Source organism: Homo sapiens, chromosome 4, assembly GCF_000001405.40.
Source record: "Homo sapiens chromosome 4, GRCh38.p14 Primary Assembly".
NCBI classification, from domain to species: domain Eukaryota; kingdom Metazoa; phylum Chordata; class Mammalia; order Primates; family Hominidae; genus Homo; species Homo sapiens.
This window is the reverse complement of record NC_000004.12, coordinates 146,480,769-146,502,013: the sequence shown is the minus strand read 5'-3', so window position 1 is coordinate 146,502,013 and position 21,245 is coordinate 146,480,769. Positions and strand designations below refer to the sequence as shown.

At 38.2% G+C, this 21,245-nt stretch overlaps 1 protein-coding gene across 16 annotated transcripts in view; it reads left to right on the top strand.

Moving 5' to 3' along the window:
* Positions 1-21,245, top strand: part of SLC10A7 (solute carrier family 10 member 7) — a 267,960-nt gene that overhangs the window by 19,927 nt on the left and 226,788 nt on the right. The window contains exon 5 of one of the 16 annotated variants that reach the window (XM_017008691.3): positions 7,851-9,822. The exons of 14 other annotated variants lie outside the window; for them this stretch is intronic. In XM_017008691.3, coding sequence (XP_016864180.1) covers positions 7,851-7,904 — 54 coding nt within the window. In that variant the 3' untranslated portion in view covers positions 7,905-9,822. Of the gene's footprint in view, positions 1-69; positions 3,127-7,850; positions 9,823-21,245 lie in introns of those variants that run through there. One more of the 16 variants, XM_017008689.2, reaches the window with a different exon arrangement.

Below are 21,245 nucleotides of genomic sequence, written 5' to 3'. Positions count from 1 at the left end.
CTTTCATCAGATATTTGCTTTGTCAATATTTTTTCCTAGTCTGTGACTTGTCTTATTATTTTTTACCAGTGCCTTTTGAAGAGCAGGATGGTAGTGGAGACAGTAAACGTGATTGGATTCAGGGTGTATTTTGAAGGTACAGGATATGCTGATGAATTAGATGTGGGGTGTGAGAGAAAAAGAGGGGTCAAGAATGGCTTTAAGGTTTTTGGTTGAGCAACTGCAAGGATGAGGTTGCTGTTGCTATGTGAGAACAGGTTTGGGGAGTATTAGCCTACAGAAGCTAGGCTATTCTAGGATCACTAAGAACTCCAAAATCTCAGTGGTTAAAAATATGCATTTATTTCTTGTTCATGGTACATGTCCCATGTGGGTCAGTGGGAAGGTCTTTTGCCATCCCTAAAGATGCCAGATTGATTGGAGGCTCTACTGTCTTGTAGGTCTACCCCCTGGATGGAACACACAACATTTTCACTTGCCACAGCAGAGAGAAAGATTGGAGAACCACAAATAGGCTTTTCACTGCCCAGGTTGATAGTGATACATGGCACTTCTGCTCACATTAAATTGGCCAGAATAAGTCATATGGCCTTACCATGTATTGTCATTTATGTGCCCTGAAGGAGAAAGGAACTGACATTAGTGAATACTTGTAATGTCAGCCACATAGGTAAAGATCAAGAATTTGGTTTTTTGATGTACTAAGATGCCTATTATATATCCAAGTGGACATACTAACGAAGAATTAGAGCTATTAGAATTGGTAGTTTAGGAAGTGGTCTAAACTAGAGATATAAATTAGGGAATCATCAGTGGATAAATGTATTTAAAGCCAAAATTGGATGAGATTATTTGGGGAGAGAGCATAGATATAAAAGAGAAGAGGTTCAAGGACTGAGCCCTGGATCACTCCAACATTAAGAGGTCAAGGGAATGAGGAATAACCAGCAAAGGCAACAGAGAAAGCAGCAATAATGAGGGCAGGAAAAAGAGGGGAGCACTGTGTCAGGGAAGCCAGGTGTCCTGGAAGCCATGTGAAAAAGTGTTTGAAGAGGAGGGTCTGGTTCACTGTGTAAAATAATGCTGATATAAGTTGTGTAAGGTAAATTCTGAAGATTAGCCACTAAATTATGCTACATGGAGTAATTGGCAGCCTGACCACAGTGGTTTTGGTGGAGCATTGGGATAAAAGCTTATTTGGGGTGGGCTCAAGAAAAAAGTGGGAAGAGCAGAATTAGAGATAGAAGTAGAGACAACTGTTTTGAGGTTCTCTGTGATGAAAGGGAAAAGGGAAATGAGGTTGTATTTAGAGGGGATGTGGGGTAGAAATTTTTTTAATGGAGAAATAACAGCATGTATGTATGCATCATGATGAGAATGCTACACTAGAGAGGAAACTATTGATGTAAGAGAGAGTGTGTATGCTGGAGTAATATATTTGATCAAATGAGAGAGAATGGTATTGAGTTGTATGACTGTCAGTAGACCTTGGGCTGTTTATTTATAATAACAGAAGGGAAGGCAGAGTGTGTGGATATGGATGTGTGTAGCTGGGTAGAAGGGGTATACTTGGTCTCTTTTAATGGTTTTTATTTTCTTAGTGAGGTTGGAAGCAAGGTCAACCACTGAGAGTGATGATGAGGTAGGTAGTATTGATGTTTCAAAAGGGAGGAGAAAGTGTGCAATTGCCATCTAGATGAGGAAAGTGAGTTAACTTGAGGGTAAGGCAGGACAGCTAGGCTGGACTGAGGAGCCAGCTGAGATGCGTAGACATGCATTGAAAGTGAAGCCAGGCATTGTGGTTGTGTGTTTTCTCAAAGCCACATTTAGCTTCTTAGTGTAGGAATGAAATTGGCAGATAGCTGGATTTAACCAAAGATTTCATTATGTCAGGTAGTTATTTTTATTTGCCATATAATTAGTGAGATAGAGGAGGTATAGGAGTTTTAGACTAGTATGCACTGTGGTTTTCTTTCTATTGTGATTAGAGATAAATGTGATTTGTCTAATGGTGATTCCCTCAAGAGGTGTGTAGGCTATATTGATTTAAGAGACTAAAAAACCTTTTTGTTCTCAACTTTTGGCCAAAGTTCACATTTCATCCATATCCTTGACATTGACGTAGCATTAGATTCTTCTAAAGTCTACTTACATGTTTATTCCCTCAATAGATAAATTGTTTATATTAATGTTCCACGTTAATAATGTGGAATTTAGAAATATCTCCTTTGTTTTCTAAAAGTGTTAGTCTATTTCTTTAAATGTTTATATTGTATAGCTTCATGATTGTCAAGCATTTTTGTAGACCAGGGGTATAAGATATAATTTTTCATAAATCTTGAATATCAAACTTGAGAAATGAAGTTTGCAGAGTCCAGTTTGGTCCTACCTTCTGATATGAAATGAGTAGACTATTTCATATTTTCACCAGATTGTAGGAGAAAATGATCTGCAAGAAAAGGTAGTAGAAAAGTTTAATACTTTCCTAAAATAATGTTACTAGATAAGTGAATATAGACTTTTGTTGAAGTAAATGTGAAAGAAGATTAATCTTATGTATAATATATTGGAAAGAATGTAATCTAAGGATGGGCAGTGAATTTGTTGGTGTGTGTAATGAAAAGGTCCACAAGCTGGGCCCACTGTCACCTACCATTTGATGAAGGCCCTGATTCTGCTTTTCTGTGATTCTCTGCTCTGCCTTGCATGTAGCGGCTCTGTACTCACATGGGTTTTAACATAGCAATAGAATTGCTGTGGCATATTTCCATGTTGCATTGTCCTTGCAAAATGTTCTTGATGGTGTATATGACAAGTATGAAAACGTCTTCCTTCAGGATTTTGTGTTATCACCTTTTTCACATTTAGTTGATGCTCATGTATATTTATATATTTATATGTAATATATACATGTTTAATATGTGCTCTCATGTACTAAATACAGTGTGTGGTTGTATAGCATATTTGTTTTTAATGATTTGGGGATGTATGCAGTTGTAATGGTGTCATTTGAAATGATTGTTTTCATTTTGCAAAGTTGTTATAGAACGTAGGAGGAAATTTGTTTCTGCTACTTACACACTTTTCATTTTAAATGATTTTCAGTAAAATTGTTGGTTACCAAAAGATTTTGTCATGGGTTGTACTTTGGCAAGAAGTAACTTTATTGCTTTTTGTTAGTTAAAAAAAATATGTTGTTATAACTTAGGTTATTATTGTTTCAGTGAGCCAATTAGAATTTATAATAATTTTTAGCAGCAGAAGGAACTCAATGTATGTGCATAGCAATGTATATACACCGAAATGCCAGTATATTTCTCAGGTAAACAAATGATACTGTTTAGTAGTAAAGCTGACTGACAATCTTCTTTTGTGGCTTTTACATTTTAAGCTATTTTTATTTAAATATTAGAAACATGGTCAGCTTCTTATTTGTGATTGTTATTTATTCATTTGAATATTTTAAACACAAGTTTTCAAAACTGCAAAGTTGTAGAGTGTGCTTTGACATGGTCCAGCTGGTGGTGATTGTGGCTGTGTGTATGTGTGTGTGCATGTAATTGTAGTTCCTTTTTAAGTAATAGAAAAAGTAATAAGGCCGGGGGCGGTGGCTCATGTCTGTAATCCCAGGACTTTGGGAGGCCGAGGCTGGGGGATCACCTGAGGTCAGGAGTTCAAGACTAGCCTGGTCAACATGGGGAAACCTCGTCTCTACTAAAAATACAAAAATTAGCCAGGCTTGGTGTCATGTGCCTGTAATCCCAGCTACTCGGGAGGCTAAGGCAGAAGAATTGCTTGAACCCGGGGCGCGGAGGTTGCAGTGAGCCAAGATTGTGCCATTGCACTCCAGCCTGGGCGACAGAGCGAGACTCCGTCTCAAAATAAAAAAAAAAAAAAAAGTAATAAGAGTTGGTGAATCCTAATTTTATTTCCAAAAATAAGAAGATAGATCAGAATGTTTTATATTTTATTCTGACATGGGAGGCAAAAGATAAACACTTATTCTTTGTTTAAAACTATATATATTTGTTTAGTTTAAATTTCTGTTCTAAATACAAGATTCAGTGATAAAAAATTTTTTTGATTTTTTTTTTCCCTCCAAAAGCCTTACAAAGGTTTTAAACCTGATGAGACTTGCTAAGAGAATCCTTGTATTTGAATTCAAGTTACTTCTGCCTTACAATAACTATCACAGGGATTCCTTTATAAAAGAAAAAAAAATTTAAAGAAACTAGAAAATTATTCCCCTATGTTTGGAGAGGGAGTTATGTGGTTTTCATAGTATTGTTGTAGAACTATTTCATTTCTCTATGGTTTGTACTGGTATTTAGTGAAAAAGCAAGAAAGGTAGGGTTTGGGAAAGAGGCATTGTCTTCTTTTATCTCAATATTGCTTCTTTTGCATGCTGAGAAAAGGAAGAATTCAGCGAAAAGCCATTGCCGAAAAATGTGAAGTGAATATGAAGCCTTAACGTCCAAGTAAAGTTGCAAAGCTATACAACTTTGCAAAATTTTGAGAGCCTAGGTATTAAACAAGTGGAAGAGAAATATAATTAAGGAGTGTCTGCCTTCAAATATCTGAAGGGAAAAAGAAAAAAGCATTAAGAGTTGTAATAGATAAAAGTCAGGGCAAGTTAGAAAGGAGTCTTTAGTCAGATCTGGGAGTAATATTTAAACTCTAGGTTATCTGTGTTTAAAACCAAGCCTGGTAATTCGAACCATGAAAATAGGCACTTTTACCACTAGTAGCAGTGTACTGACTATAGGCATGTTATTTATGTTTATTTGTGGTTTTTTGATTGTTTGTTTCTTAAAATGGATTTCATGGATCACTTGCACTGGCATTACCTGAAAGATTAGAAAAGTAAACTTAAATTCTTTATATCATATCCACCCTAGACATATTGAATTAGAATGTTTAGTGGATGGGCCTCAAGAATCTCCTTCTTTTAAAAATTATGAAACCTATCGTAGCTATAAAAAGGGTGTAAAACACATATACACAGTTTAAAGCACAATATGCACTTCTATGTCCACCATTCAGCTTTAGAAATAGAATACAGTATTCAACCAATTGTTAAGCATCAACTTTAAGATACTGTTTTCTACCATAGAGAATAATAAGGATAATAACGTCTTACAGGGGAGAAAAAGTAACCTTTTCCTCACCCATGGCAAGGGTCATAGCTGACATCCCTATAACAAATGACACATTAACAAGAGAAAAGCATAACAAATTTATTTACCCGAAGTTTTTGGTGACATGGGTGATTTCAGAAATGTAGACCCAAAGAGACAGGGAAAACTATATTTTTATGCTGTCTGATGAAATAAATGGATAGTTGTGGAGAAAAATGGTTGGAAAAAAAGGGGTATGCTCTAATGGTAATAAACTGGGGCACTTAACAAGGCCAGGTTTTTCAGATTCTTTTCTGTGTCTCTGTAAGACCTGCTTTCCCCCTGAGTGTGAGAAAGGACACCTGTCACATGAGGGTCTTCAGGGGAGAAGGGAGGAAGTCAGAGTGACCTTTCTGCTTTCTATGATCCACCTAGGGGGAGGGGAATTCTAGTTTCTATGATCCACTCACAGGCAAGAGAAAGAGGGACAGGAGACAGGAGGGTAGGAGAAGGTTAGGGAGACCATCTTGCTTTTGAGGCCCCCTTGTCTGTGTCAGCTCAAAAGTACTCAGTATGCCAAGACACCATGCTTTAGGGTATTGTGTTCTGAGACCTGACAATCTAGTGCCTGACTTTGAGGAGCTTACATTTAATGTGATATTACAGTATTCAGAATCTCTACTTCATGTTATAAACCTCACAAAAATAGGCGAAACGTAGTGGAATAATTTTGCCTAGATGACCCATATCATTAAATTATTGTTTTCCATTTTAGTGTAGAAAAAAACAAAATGTACCACAAGTGAGGTCAGCTCCACCCAGCTGTGTGGGACAGCCAGAACTTCAGGTTAGAGATCTAGACTGTGTTTGCTACTTGCAGCATTAGGCTGTGGTCTTGCCTGGTCTAGTATTAAGACAGTGTACTTCTTTTAATGCAAGCATATTTAGCTGGCATTTTTATTTTATTTTACTTAGCAGGTTGAAGGATTTTAGAACTTTGATAGTCATGCTGAATTCCAAATACATTTTAAAGAAACATTTTGATTTGGGGTATAGAAGAAAGATAACAAGTATGTGTATGTGCCTCTGTGTGTGTGTGTGTGTGTGTGTGTGTGTGTGTGTGTGTGTGTTTACTTTCATCAACGGGGCTGGTGCTCAAATCTCTTCAAAGACAATTTAAGAATGTCTCCTGAGCAAAGAAAATTATCACATGTGGTGAAGTCTTTAAGTCATAGATGAAGGTCATAGAAGTCTGAGTGTATTTAAAAAAGGTTTTCTATCTGCTTGGAAAGCAAATGAAGCACTCATTACTAACTTTCAAAGTATAGCTATGAGATTTTTGCTAGAGGTGAAAGATCAAGATCATCACAGTCCAAATGGAGACTGTAAGTTCAATTTCTGACTCATGAGTGAGGCATGAAACATTTCAGGGTTATTTTGCATTATCATTGGGGAGTTGGTCTTGCTAATCCAATGCATTAAGATAAGATTCATTGAAACATTTATAAAGGCAGTTAGAGTAGATCTAATCAGCAGAGAGGACTAGGAGTGAAAAGGAAATCTTATCTGTCAGTCACTTTCTCCGCTTTAGCAATTACTTGGCCTTTCTGTTCTTTGCCTTTCTCTTCTGTTAAATGGGGTTACTGCTTTGGCTTGTAGTGGAAGGTTAGTGGCATCCTGGAGGAATCTTATGTCTGAAAAACATTGTCAGCATTGAGCCTTCTTGCAAGCTGGCAGATGTATATTTTTTAGCCTCCAGACTGGTGTGCTTTCTGAGAAGTAGTAACAGCTACATTTCCCTCTTTAACAGATGAAAGAACAGAAGTAACAGCAGCAACAGCAAGAAATTCTATGCCCCTACTCTTCTACTGTATCTACCTTTTAGCTTCAGTCTTATTTTCCGGATTGGGCGAGAGTTCTTAGGAGGTAGAAAGAGTTGACTGTATTTGTTTTAAGCTGCTATAAAACTTGTGAAACGTACCTAGATTTCCCTAGATTTTTGTGTAACTTAGAATTTTCTCATTTAACCCTGTTGCCCAGCAAATTGTCTTCATTTTTACCTCTCTAACTAAAAGGGCCCTTTTAATAGGTTAGCAGTGATTTTTAGTCACCAATCCCAGAGGCCAGTCCTCAGTTCATATCCTCCATGACTGATACCACTCATCTCCAAAGATCTGGTCTTAGAGAGACACAGAAAAGATGGAGATTCATGACTGATTCATGACACAGAAAAGATGAGTGGAGATGGCCACTCATCTCCAAATTCCTTCTGCTTCCCTGACACTCATCTCTCCTGATTTTCTTTCCACGCCTCTCATCAATTCTTTTCTTCTTGTCTGGTTCCTTTTCCATCCCTATGGTGTCTTCCAGAGATCTGATCTAAAACAAAGTGTTAGCCCTGCTAGATTCCTGTTTCTGAATCCTTCTCTTTATAGCTAAAGCCATATGACCCCCATCTTTGGGTTTGACTGTGCCTCAGACGTTAGGGCCAGTCCTGATCTTGGGCGAGAAGTATTTACGTAACTCCAGCTTAACATGCTGTGGCACTATATCACCACCTTTGCTGATAGGCCGCCTGACCTTGAGCACAGAATACCCTGCCTTGGAATCAAAGCATGTGCTTAATTCCTGCTTTTACCGTTACTAACGTAGTGGTCTCAGTAAGCCCTGGACCTTGCTGGCTTTTGGTTTCCCCATACAAGGAGCAATAATATTTGCATTCTCATTTCATAGGATTGCTTACAAGGATCTCATGCATTGATATGTGGAAGTACTTGTAAACTATGAGGGAACACATCAAGTAAGCATCAGCATTATTATCATTGCAGAGGTTTATCACTGATGAAATAACTGGGTTTTCTGAGTCAATATTATTGCTGTCTCAAGAACTTGATCTTCTAAATTCGCTCATTCATTCACTTCGTTCATTTATTCAAAAACGTATGTCGAGTGCTTGCAATAGCTTGCTGTATATACATATTACATTTATAGAATTTTCAGTTTAGTAAGTGATATAAAACAAGCAGTAAATTGCAGCTTAAGATGATTTGTATTTAAATAAATTTAATAAACTGGATAATTTTAGTTTATTAGTTTGCATTATAGGTCTTCAGGTTTTTTGTATAAGTATTTCTTGTCATAACCTGGAATATTCATGTCAGATACCCAAGATAGCCCGTTTGGGAATTAAAGGGCATGGGGAGCCAAACTAGTAATTGAAAGATTGCTTTCAGAGTTTAGAACGAGGTAAAGGGGATTGAAGATTGAATAGATTTATAGGATGTTTCTCTGAAACAGTAAAGCCTAGAAAAGCATCCCAGCTCCATTCCAATGAACAACAACAAAAAAACACAAGCCACAAAAACAATCAGGTATATCTCTCTCTCCCTCTCTCTCTTTTTTTTTTTTTTCGAGACAGAGTCTCGCACTGTTGCCCAGGCTGGAGTGCAATGGCGCAGTCTCAGCTCACTTAAACAGTTCTACATAAACATTGAAAATGGGTTATCAACCTAAAACTCCTTGTTCAGTATCAGAATATCTGCATGTATGATGACTAGCAAAACATTTTTTGATAATTTGGTTTATTTTGATTAGTTATATTTTAAATATCAGGCTTCCTATTTAGAGAGGCACTAGTCTAAACAACAACACACTTCTAACTTTTCTTTTAGCTAATCTAATCTAATTAATGTTTATATTTTTGCATCTTGTTATACAGAATTTGATTATTTTTAACTTTATTTCCAAATTCTGGGCATGTGCCTTTTTCAAGTTCTGTAGCTTGTCTGTGCACCAACTACATGCTAATTACACATGTATTTGTGTATATTTATGAAGTTGTTTTTCTTAAAAATAGAAGACTTATTCTTAATAATTTACTAAATCATGGAGTTATGAAAATGTCAACAAATTAAACCTCAGAAGACTTAGCTGCTTCTTTTGGCCCCATCCCTAACTAGCTCTGTGATCTTGGGTAGTCTTTTCATCAGCTTTTTAATCAATTGTATGTAGGCAGGGTTGTTTTAGATGAAAATATTTTGGGAAAAAAAAACATATAAGACCCATGTAAATGAGAGGAGATATTCTGTCACTTTAAACTGTTTGCTTCTTGGTGAAATATGATCTATTTTTATTGCATTAAATGTAGATTTTTATGCTTTCCCAACGTATTCTCTTTTTATATTAAGATGTTTGGCATCTATCAGACTATTTATTAAGAACATGGCTGGCTGGGCACGGTGGCTCATGCCTGTAATCCCAGCACTTTGGGAGGCCGAGGCCAGTGGATCACGAGCTTAGGAGTTTCAGACCTGCCTGGGTGACATGGCAAAACCCCATCTTTCCAAAAAAATACAAAGAAATTTAGCCGGGCATGGTGGTGTGTGCCTGTGGTCCCAGCTCCTTGGGAGCTTGAAGTGGGAGGGTCGTTTGTGCCTGGCAGGTGGAGGTTGTAGTGAGCCAAGATTCTGGCAACACACTCCAGCCTGGGGGAAAGAGTGAGACCCTATCTTAAAAAAAATAGAAAGAAAGAAACAAAGAAACATGGACATTGTATAGGCCAAAGGAGTCAGGTTTAATCTGTATTGCATTGCTACAAACTTTAGAAGTGATTCTGTTAGTTTACTTGCATTACAAAGTCATCAGGCTGTGTCTTTCTTTTCTTCCTTTTTTTTTTTTGAGACAGAGACTCGCTCTGTCGCCCAGGCTGGAGTGCAGTGACGCGATCTCGGCTCACTGCAAGCTCCGCCTCCAGGGTGCATGCCATTCTCCTGCCTCAGCCTCCCAAGTAGCTGGGACTACAGGCGCCCGCCACCACGCCCAGCTAATTTTTTTTGGTATTTTTAGTAGAAATGGGGTTTCACCATGTTAGCCAGGATGGTCTCAATCTCCTAACCTCGTGATCCGCCCGCCTCAGCCTCCCAAAGTGCTGGGATTACAGGCGTGACCCACCGCACCCGGCCCTGGCTGTGTCTTTCTAAGTATTTAATGAGAACATCCTGTTTAGTGCAATGAGATTTTCAAGCAGATTATTCATGGCCAAGAACACCTGGATCCAAACAAACGGTCTGAATATATTGAGTGGGCTGAGCTGCATTTTAATCTAGTGCCAAGATACTGGCCTTGCAGGGCCCTCTGAATGAGGAATTTATTTCCTTCCTTCCTTCCTTCCTTCCTTCCTTCCTTCCTTCCTTCCTTCCTTCCTTCCTTCCTTCCTTCCCTTCCTCCCTCCCTCTCTCCCTCCTTCCTTTCTTTCTTCACACAGGCAGAAACTGAAAAGTTTTCCAAAATATAATTACTTTGTGTGTAATTCACTCTTTCTTCTTTCTTTCCCTCGCCTTTTTTCCCCTCCTCCCTCCATCTTTTTCCTTTTCTTTTCTTCTCTTCCTTTTCCTTCTCTCCAATCTTGGAAAAATAATGCCAATCATTATTCACTAAATTGATTTTGTGACCACAGCTTGAAAAACACTATCCTAAACTTTAATGGATATTTGCCATTCATATTTCCTCTTGAGTCAGCTCCTTTGATTCTCTGGACAAACTTTTTGGCCTTGGTCTGTATGCTCTGGAGGATTTCTGGCCACCTATTACTTGCAGACAGTTGTTTTGTTATTGGTCTTCAGGCTATTTTGAGGACTTTGTCTTCTCATGAATTCTTCTGCTGCTTGTGGTCAGCTCACCTGATCTGTCAGCACCTACAGTAAGGACCTCCTCATCCCCCGTATCTAGTAGTTGAAGCCTTGCCCATCAGTCAAGGCCCAGCTCAAATACAGTTTTCCTCTCAAAAAGCTGCTGTAGATGCCCAGTCAGAATTAGTCTTTTCTTCCATTCACAATACTGTGTTTGTACTTCTGTTGTGACACTCACCCTTAATCAGATATTTTTGCATATATTTGGCTCCCCAACCAATCTTTGAGTTTTCTTTGTGGGAACTACTTTTCTTTTGTATCTTTTTAATGCAGTGTAGGAGTAGCCTTAATAGAAATGGCAGGAAAAGGGTTTGGGAAGCTGGAGAATGATCCAGTTTCCTCCTGGTCATATCGTGGTTGAAGTAATTTCCACAGCTCTATGTTCTCCATCTCTCATTCCAGGATTCTTTCATGTATTTACTGTACTAGAATAAAGAGGGGATAGAATTAAATGATATCCTAGATTGGGCATATGTTTTTTTTCCTTCATGCAAGTCCATTTTAGTTCCAGTTAAGAGAGCCTATTGTGGGAATTATTCAGAGTGTATGCTTAATAGTGTTTCTCATTTACCGATTCTTCAAATGTGGACCCTGAGACAATGTTATTATGAAGTTCAATCTCACTATAGTTGCCTTAAGTTCACACTGGTTTGAAAATGGTACACCTTCTCAAATAGGCAAACCATGGCAATTTAACTCTGACAAACAGCCTGGGAAACTAACAATATGAGGTAAAATATTTTATATATTTATTTACACTAATCTTTGTTTAAATGCATGATAGAGTATTCTACAAAAAAATGCTTTGGACTTTTGTGGCCCTCTAATAACCCATTAGACTGATATGCCTAACTCTTAATGTGAGTTTACAGTGAGTCTTTGTCAAAATAAGCCCTCATGAATACTCATTGCATTTGCGCAATGAAGTCGTTGGCATGTGTGTATTCTTTTTGTTCCTCTGAAGTTTGATATTTCTAGTTCCCTAATTATTATTTAATTGCCAACTCTTCTGTAGTGTTTGCATACTTGCTCTTAAGGATAGGCTATATAGTCACATTTTGGTATGAAAAATGAGAACTGGCAGTATAATTTAAAAATAATGTACCATACCCAGTTAGTCTATAAAGAGAGACATGAATTCTCTTGGTTTGATGTCATCATCTTTTTGTAGATGACAAAAAAAAAATAGAATTTTTGTTGGAGGAATTATGTAGCTCCCTTGAAAAAAATTTATTTTCAAATTGTGATTGAAAACATATCAAAGGGTAAAAAAAAAAAGAGCCTACTTTAAGAAACAGTTTGCCTGTGGTTGATAAACTTTGGGCTTAACTGATAATAAAGGGACCAATAGAGAAGGAGGAAAGCAGTTAATTGAGTTAGAAGCTTGTTTGCTAAATAGAGGAGTCTTTTACCAGTTGAGTGGGAAAAGCCCTGTCTCAGGTTTTACAAAGCCTCTTAGAGATGTAAAGAAATGCAAGCACTTTCTGATTTCTGTTCTGGAAGGAAAAAAAGAGTACAGCAGAAGGATGGAATAACTCAGGACTGTTCTGATGCACAATTCTAGAAGGCACTTTTAACCCGTGGGCAGTTCCTTTGCCCTACGTGGATTTAGTGAGCTGCTACCCCTTGCACAATAAGGGATGACCTCAATCACAATAAGCTCTTGCCATCAAAATCGTAAGATCAGCCAGTACGTGTTATGTGTCAGTTCTTGTTCTCAGTGCTTTACATATATTAATTCCTTTAATCTTTTGAGATAGGTATTATTACTATCCCCATTTTGCAGATGAGAAAACTGACACAAAAAGAGACTAAGAAATTTGTCTAGGCTTACAGAGCGCAAACAAGGTAGAGTGAAGATGTCAACTCAGGCACTCTGGCTTCAATACCTGTGCTCCTCACCCTCCCTTCTCTGCCCTTCTCTGTTAACACTGGAGGTAGAACAGACTGCCTCAATCCACAGATGGCTTAGTGCCTGAACTACCTAGGTGGAAAAAATAAAGGCTGTGTTCAGAGTAATGAGTCCTAAGAAGTTATGGATGTGTTGATATTTCTGTTTGACTGGAAGCCTCCTTTCAGGAAGCTTTCGCCATTTCTGTACTACAGCCCTGTGGTACTACCCCACCAAGGCACATTTAGCACAGGCTATTGAAAATGGCTGTGTATCTCATTGAAGCTCTCATTAGATGGCAGGGAATGTGTGCTTCTTATTCACAGTTGTATCCTCTGTATCTAGTGCAGTGTTTGGCATAGATGAGGGACACAGGAAATGTATTTGAATAAATTAATATTTCTGAAGAAATTTGTCTAGCCTTATAAGTGTATTGATTTAAATATGTATTATTAAGGCAGTAATTCATATTAAGGTAAACTTTGTTCTGTGTTAAACTTTTATAAAAAAATTAAGATACACAATAGGCTATATATTGTGGCATTTTTGCTTCTCTCAATTATTCACGCCTATTCTGCTTTGTCTAAGCTTTAACAGCCACAGTCTTGTGGTAGCAACCCCCACAATAGCTGGCATAATGCCTGGAAGGAAATAAGACTTCGAATGCTTAGAAGGAAATAAAAGACTTCTATAGGGTTGATCTGGTCTGGAAGAAAATAAAATACTACTAAAGGGCTAATAGTGCATTTTTAAAATCTATTGATGAAAAACAAAAACAGAAATCTTAGTAGCTGAATGGGACTTTTAGTCATTTTTTTTCCCTCCTTAATTTTGGATGATCTGAAATCATCTAGTCAAGTAAATATCTCATGTGGGAAAAATGATTTGCACATTAGAAGACATTAGGAGATGCTCAATAAATATTTTTTTCTGAACAAATGATGAAGTATAATTTCTTTCCCTTATTTAAAATAAGTGGTGATTTCTCCATGCAAGTTTCAGTATATACAGAATTAAAATATATTTAATATACTTTTTCAGGTCATCTCCTATTATAGTAAATACATTTAATATTATTGTGCATATCTTATGAAATGCTTTTACCTATATTTTCTTTTTTTTTCTTTTGAGGCAGGGTCTCAGTCTGTCACCACGGCAGAAGTACAGTGGTATGATCGTGGCTCACTGCAGCCTTGACCTCCCAGATTCAAGCAATCCTCCTGCCTCAGTGTCACAAGTAGCTGGGATTACAGGCATGTGCTACCATGCTTGACTAATTAAAAAAATTTTTTTTCGTAGAGACAGAGTTCCACTATATTTCCCAGGCTGGCCTTGAATTCCTGGGCTCAAGCAATCCTCCTACCTCCCAGCAGCTGGGACTCAAGGTGTGCACCACTATGCCTGTCTAATTTTTTTTTTTTAATTTTGTAGAGAAAGGGTGTTGCTTAGGGCTGGTCTCCAACTCCTGGGCTCAAACAATCCTGGGCTCAAGCAATCCTCCTACCTTGGCCTCCCAAAGAGATGAGATTACAGATGTGAGCTACCATATCTGGCCTATATTTTTCTATCTTTAACTTCCATATAATTGTATGAAGTACATAGGACTGCTTTTATATTATTCTGGTTTTGTAGTTGGGAGAATAGGGATTGAGAGGTGAGATGACTTGTCCAAAGTCCCACAGGTGGGAAGTCATGGAATCCTTCTTCAAGACACTTTCATCCCATTATGCATTATCTCAGGCAAAAACAACAAAACTCCATAAATCAGCCATGTAAGATCTAGATCTTGTATTGGCTCCTCATTAAAGTTGGATGGCTTGACATTTTTCTGAGGGATGACTGTCAGTGTACTATTAGCTAAAAACAAATTATTGAGCACTTGTACTTTATAGAGTACTGAATTAAAATTCTGAGGAGTGGGGAGCTCTAGGGTGCAAGGAAGCTCAAACCTTGTATGTTTTCACAGAGGTTGGTAATGAACTGGGGGGAAATTGGCAGAAACATAAACAACAGGTGAGTGTAAATGTGCAAGTCAGGTAAGGAGAGGGCAGAGAAGTCTCTAGAGCTTGAGTCAGGCTCACGGGTCCTGGTTGGAAAGTTGGCTCTTGGAAGTAATAGGTTTTCACATTCTTTTCCAGTGGTTAGGGCATTTTTTTGAAAAGCCTCTCCTGTGTGGTTAAGGTACTCAAACTGGCTGAAAGATACAAGAGAATGGGTCTAGTAGAGAAGGTGCTGCTTATAGATTTTATTCTGGGGACCTGGTCAATGGAACAGGATTACCTGCACTGGGAGCAGGAGAGCAGGCTGGCTGAGGAAGCAATTGCAGTTTGGCTGACAATTTGACTGAAAGGTTGCTTCCTTATGGTGAGTTGGTGGCAGAATTATTGCTTTGCTGTGCCCTATAGACATGAATCTAAATGGAATAACCAAATACTGGGTGATATGGGTGGGCCAGGTGCACAGGCCAAGCCTGTGTGTCCTGCATCACTGGCAGTTGTAGATTTAAAAGAGAAGACTGCCACTGCCCTATAGGGGATTCTCCGTGTTCATCTCAGTAACTCCTATTCCTTGTAGGATGAGAAAGTGAAAGCAAAGCTGAGGTCTTCTTGTACACCTCAAACATAAAAGAACTTCTGTCCTGAATTTGTTTTGGTACCATGAACCCAAATACTACCAGGAAGCCAATCCCACCCAGGAAAACAGCCACAAATATATCCCATTCTAAGAAATGTTAAAAATGGCATCTGGAACTGTAAGACACCATGCACATATGTTTTTAAAAAATTTATTTGTTTAGATATAAGGGAAAACAACTGCAGCATTAGAAACCTTATTGGTATGTACCTACTTTCTCCTCTGAATTCACACTATTGACTAGGTCATATAAAATATTTCCTGGCAATAAATATGTGTTGCTTAAAATAGCTTGTTAAATGATTAAATTAATGTGTGTGAACATGTTTTGTAAATCACAAAACATTATTTTCAAAACATTTTTGAAATAACATTATGTTATTGCTATTAAAAGGCTAGCTTTAAAAAATTATAATTGGAAAGTCTGTTGAATGTGGTTAATTGGTAATAAATTAATCATTGCTCTCAAGAGCTTATTTGAATGACCTGCAGTTTCTAGTTGAGTATTGAATGGTCTTATTGAATGTTGTGTTATTACTTCAGGAGTTGTGATATGTTTCACCTTGGTTTAGAAAACCATAGTTTTATCATGATACCTGAAAAAAGATTTAGTATTCTCTCTTTTTCTGAAGTTGCCTCACACATTCACATTTCTTTTTACTTCATAAGGCTGGGAAAAGAGAATACCATAATTGTCCACTTGATTTTTAAAATCTTCATTTTTTTAATCTCTATATTTTTAAAATTCACACCTCTCTTTTCTGAGCTTCTTGCCTTCTCTTTCCTGCCTTTTCCCTCCTTTTCTTTCGTCATTGTCTCTCCTTATCTCTTCTGGTGAATTTTAATTCCTTCACCAACCAGGTCTTCACCATGCTAGACTCTTTAGAAGGACCCTGCATGGTCCTCTGGCCCCTGTGTTGTTGTCATCATCCTTATGACTGTCATCATCATAGTCTCTTTCTCTGGTCATAACTGATTTTTCAGCCCAGAGTAGGACTTTCTCTTGGATTTCCAAATCCTGAACCTGGACTTATATGTGCTTTCCTGGTACTGTGTCTTCTTCCAGAAGCCGTCATAGTTAGACTGTCTGCTCTGGCAGTAATAAATACTCTGAAGGTCTTCTAGGACAGGAGATTACCTTGAACACCAGCTCTTTGTGTGGCAGGCATTTCCAGGGCCTACTGGGACTCCCTGAGGAATTCTGCCCTCAGCACCAAGGTGTTAGGAAGCTTCTTCCAAACTATGTGACCCTGTTTTGCTGTGACCACAAGGTCCATTCCAAAGCTTGCTGCTGCTGTCATGCCCCTCTAGGACTCTCTGCTAGGTGGCCACCTACTCTTTGAAGTCCTGCTTCCAAAGTCCCCTCAAAATGAATCACTGCAGCTTTATTTGGATGTTGTAAAAGCCAAGGAGATAGATGGTCAGTGGACAGCAGCTGTATCTCTAACTAAAAAATCTCTAGTCACAGTCAAATAAGATAATCTTCTTTAATTCCCGCCTGTGTGACTCTGTACAAATAATTCTCCATTTGATCTGGGAGATAGACACAATAGGAAGTTGGTTTGGTTATCCTAAGTTTTACTGTTTTGCTTCTTTTCCTACATATTTTTTTCCAGTGGGTAAAAGGGATGAGGTGGGATAGTAGAAAATCATTGACATTGGTCTATACAGTTTGTTCTGGTCCCCACATTTGACTCTGTCTAAGGCAACACAGAATATTAACTCATTGGAAGGATCTGCCTATATTATTATTAAGTACTGAAGTCATATTTAAGGAAATAAAGGAAGTTAATTTGTTGCAAGGAAATTAATTCCTTGTATCTGTCTTTAAATTGGGCTTTATTTTCTTGAATTGATCTAATTTAAAATTTCTTATTTTCATTGTGGTGATATATCAATAACTCCCACTCTTTTATCTGATTTATGCTAATCTGATACCAGTAATAGGAATAACTTTATTTTCCCTTTTATTTAAAAAAATCAATACTTACCTACAATAGCATAAATCCCATATCTGGCACAATTTTATTACCTATTGTCCTCATGTGTACATTAGATCTCTAGACTTTTTTATCCTAAATATCTGCTACTTTGTATCTGCTGACCTACATCTCCCCATTTCTTCCTTTATCCAGTCCCCAGTAACCACTGTTTTTTTCTCTATCTCTCTATGTTTGACTTTTTAAAAAAATTTAGATTTCATATATAAGTGAGATTATGCAATATTGTTCTTCCTATGTTTGATAGACATATAGTCAAAGTGCAATTTGAGTCCAGTGTTTCTCCATTCATTTTCTGTCTGGTTGATTTATTCACTTAAAAAAAATTTTAGAGACAGAGTGTCTCTCTGTCACTCAGGCTGGAGTGCAGTGTTGGCATCATAGTTCACTGCAGCCTTGAGATCCTGGGCTCAAGTAGTCCTTCTGCCTCAGCCTCCTGAGTAGCTGGAACTACAGGCACATGCTACCATGCCTGGCTACCTTAGAAAATATTTTTGTAGAGACAAGGTATCACTATGTTGCCCAAGATGCTCTTAAGCTCCTGGCCTCAAGCAATCCTCCTGCCTTGGCCTCCTGAAATGTTGGAATTACAGATGTGAGCCACTGCACCTGGCCTGATCTTTTCATTATTAAAAGTGGGTATTGAAGTTCATTATTGTTATTGCATTGCTATCTATTTCTCCCCTCATATCCATTAATTCTTGCTTTATATATTTAGAGGCTCCATTGTTAGGTGCATAAATATTTACTGTGGTTATGTCCTCTTGATGAATTGACCCCTTTATCATTTAATAAAAACCTTCTTTTTCTCTTTTGACAGTTTTTGACTTGAAGTCTATTTTATCAGATATAAGTACATAAGTATAGCTACCCTGCTCTTTTTTGGTTACCATTTATATGGAATATCTTCTATCATTTTACTTTCAGCTTATATGTCTTCTTAAAGCTTAGGTATGTCTCTTGTAGGCAGCATGTAGCTGGATCTGGGTTTTTTTTTAATCCAATCATCCTCTCTATGTCTTTTTTATTAGAAAATTTAATCCATTTACATTCAAGGTTATTAGAGATAGGTAAGGACTTACTATTACCTTTTGTTACTTGTTTTCTGGTTGTTTTGTTCTTTATTCCTTTCTTCCTCTCTTGTCTTCCTTTGTGATTTGATCATTTTCTATATTGCTATACTTTGATTTCTTTCACTTTATTGTTTGTATATATGATGTAGGGTTTTTTTTTTGTGTGTGTGTGGTTACTATGAGGTTTAGATAAAACATCTTATAAACTACTGTTGTAAGCTGATAACAATTTTTCTGTCACATACAAGAACTTTAGCCATTTACCTTACCCCATTTATGTTTTTAATCTTAAAATTTACATCTTCTAATGTTGTGTATTCCTTAACAATGTATTATAGCTTTAATTTTCACTGTTTTGACTTTTAACCTTCATACTAGAAATATGTATGATTTACACACCATCACTACAGTGTTGGAGTATTCTAGATTTGTTTATATATTTACCTCTACTGGGAAGTTTTATACTTTCATATGTATTCATGATAGTAATTATTGTCCTTTCATTTCCACGTAAGGAACTCCTTTTAGTACTTCTTGTAAGACAGGCCTAGTGGTAATGAATTCCCTCAGCTTTTGCTTGTCTATGAAAAATTTTCTCCTTCCTTTCTGAAAAGACAGCTTTGGGGATATAGTATTCTTGGTTGTCAGTTTTTTTTTTCTTTCAGTACTTTGAATATATCATTCCACTCTCTGTTGGCCTATAAGATTTTTCCTGAGAAATCCACTGGTAGTCAAATGGAGACTCCTTTATGTGTGACTTGACTCTTTTGTTGCTTTTAAAGTTTTCTGTTTGTCTTTGACTTTTGACAGTTTGATTATAATGCCCCTGGGAGAATTCTTCTTTGGATTTGATCAATTTGGGAACTTTGAGCTTCATAGATATGGATGCCTCTGTCTCTGCCAAGGCTTGGAAAGTTTTTAGCATTCTCTGTCTCTTCTCTGGAACTCCCATAATGCCAAAAATCTGTTGGCCTAGTGGCATCCCATAAGTCCCATAGGCTTTCTTCACTCTTTTGCCTTTTTTTTTTCTTATTTTTTCTTCTGACTGAGTCATTTCTAAAGTCCTTTCTTCAACTTCACAGGTTATTTCTTCTGCTCAATGGAGTGTGCTATTGAGGCTCTATATTTCATTTTTTATTTTATTGATTGAAGTCTTCAGCTTCAAGATTTCTGTTTGATTATTTTTTATGATATCTATTTCTTTATGAATTTGTTATTCAGATCATGAATTATTTTCCTGATTTCATTAAATTGTCTATCTGTATTCTTTTATATCTTGCTGAGTTTCCTTAAGATCATTATTTTTAAATTCCTCTTCAGATAATTAGTAAATTTCTCTTTCTGTTGCATCAGTTACTAGAGAATCATTTAGTTCCTTTGGTGGTATCATTCTTCCTTATTTTTTCATGTGTCTTGTGTTTTTGCATTGATGTCTGTGCATCTGATGGTACGATCACCTCTTCCAAACTTTATAGAGTGGCTTTCATTGGGGGAAGACTTGTCCCTGAAGATGAGCCTAAGGGTGGCAGTTGGACAGATTATAGTGGCTCTGGTTTTGTATTGGTGCAATGGTGAAATCTTTGTACAGCTTCTTTAGTTGTGATCAGTATTAGTAATGACTGTGGGTGCCTCTGTGGTGGTGGTTTCACAGCTTATTAGGGCAGGGACTTTAGGGATTTTTCTGTTTTTGTTTTTCATACAATTTGGAGTCTTAGCTGAGAGGATCTCTTTAGGTGTTGGGTCTGCATAGCTCAAAGGCAGCCACAGCAGCACTGTTATTCATGGCACAGGTGCTCAGGGTGGCTATGGATCCAGGTTCTTGGGCTCAGGATCTTTTGAGATTACTATTAGCACCTGGGACTTGAGGCACAACTTCACTCTCCAAGGCATGATTGGATGCAGTTCTCTCACTAGGCTGGGGTCCGTTGCTCTGAAGCATACCCTAGCAGCCCAAACCCTGGGCTGGGATGCAGTTATGGTACTGCCCCTGGGGGGCACAGCATAGTACTTGCATAACTCTTGGGAAGAAGGGGTGCTCCAGAGGCTCAGGCCCAGGGAACAGAGCACAGCTGCAATTTGGGACCTGGAGCCACGAGGCACAGTGGTAACTCAGGCTCTGGGGGATGAGGTGACTCTGGACCCCGAAATGGTAGAACATGGCCATGGCCCAGGTTCTGTGACACAAAGTGCAGCAGCAGCAGCAGCAGCAAGGACCCAGGCATGGTAAGATGCCACTTTGGCTTGTGGGGCGTGGGGCACAGTGCAGCAATGACTTTACTCTCTGGAGAGATGGGGTGCTTCAGCAGCTTGGACTGTGGGGCACTCATTATGTGCCAGGTAGGCATGACACTGTGCCTATTTGGACTGGGGAGTGGGGTGGCATGGCTTAGCCAGGGCTCTGAATCCTTGGGATGGGAATTACTGCATCTGCTTAGCCCCAGAAAGCATGGCTACAGCAGTCCGGGGAGCTTCTGTATTCTCGAGGGTGGGGTGCCACATCAGGTATGGTACTCAGAAGTACAACTGCTCTGGTGTGCTGGAGGGTTGGAGTCCTTTGGTGGGCAGGATGCGGTGTCACCTCTGGGGTTGGGAGAATGCTGCTCTGGTGTACAGGAGACCTGAGGTTTCCTTCCCTTCTCTGTGCAGCCATCTCAGGTTTTTGTACTTTCCATGGTTTTTCCTGTTTATTTGCTGTTCTCTGGTGCTCTCCTTTAGCTATTTTGGTAAATATGCAGTTGCTTATTCATTATTTTGGGTTTTTTTTTGGTGGGAGAGAAAGATCCCTAGCAGCTTCCTGTCAGCCATCTTGCTGACATCGCTCTTCTGGTTGCTTTCAATTATCG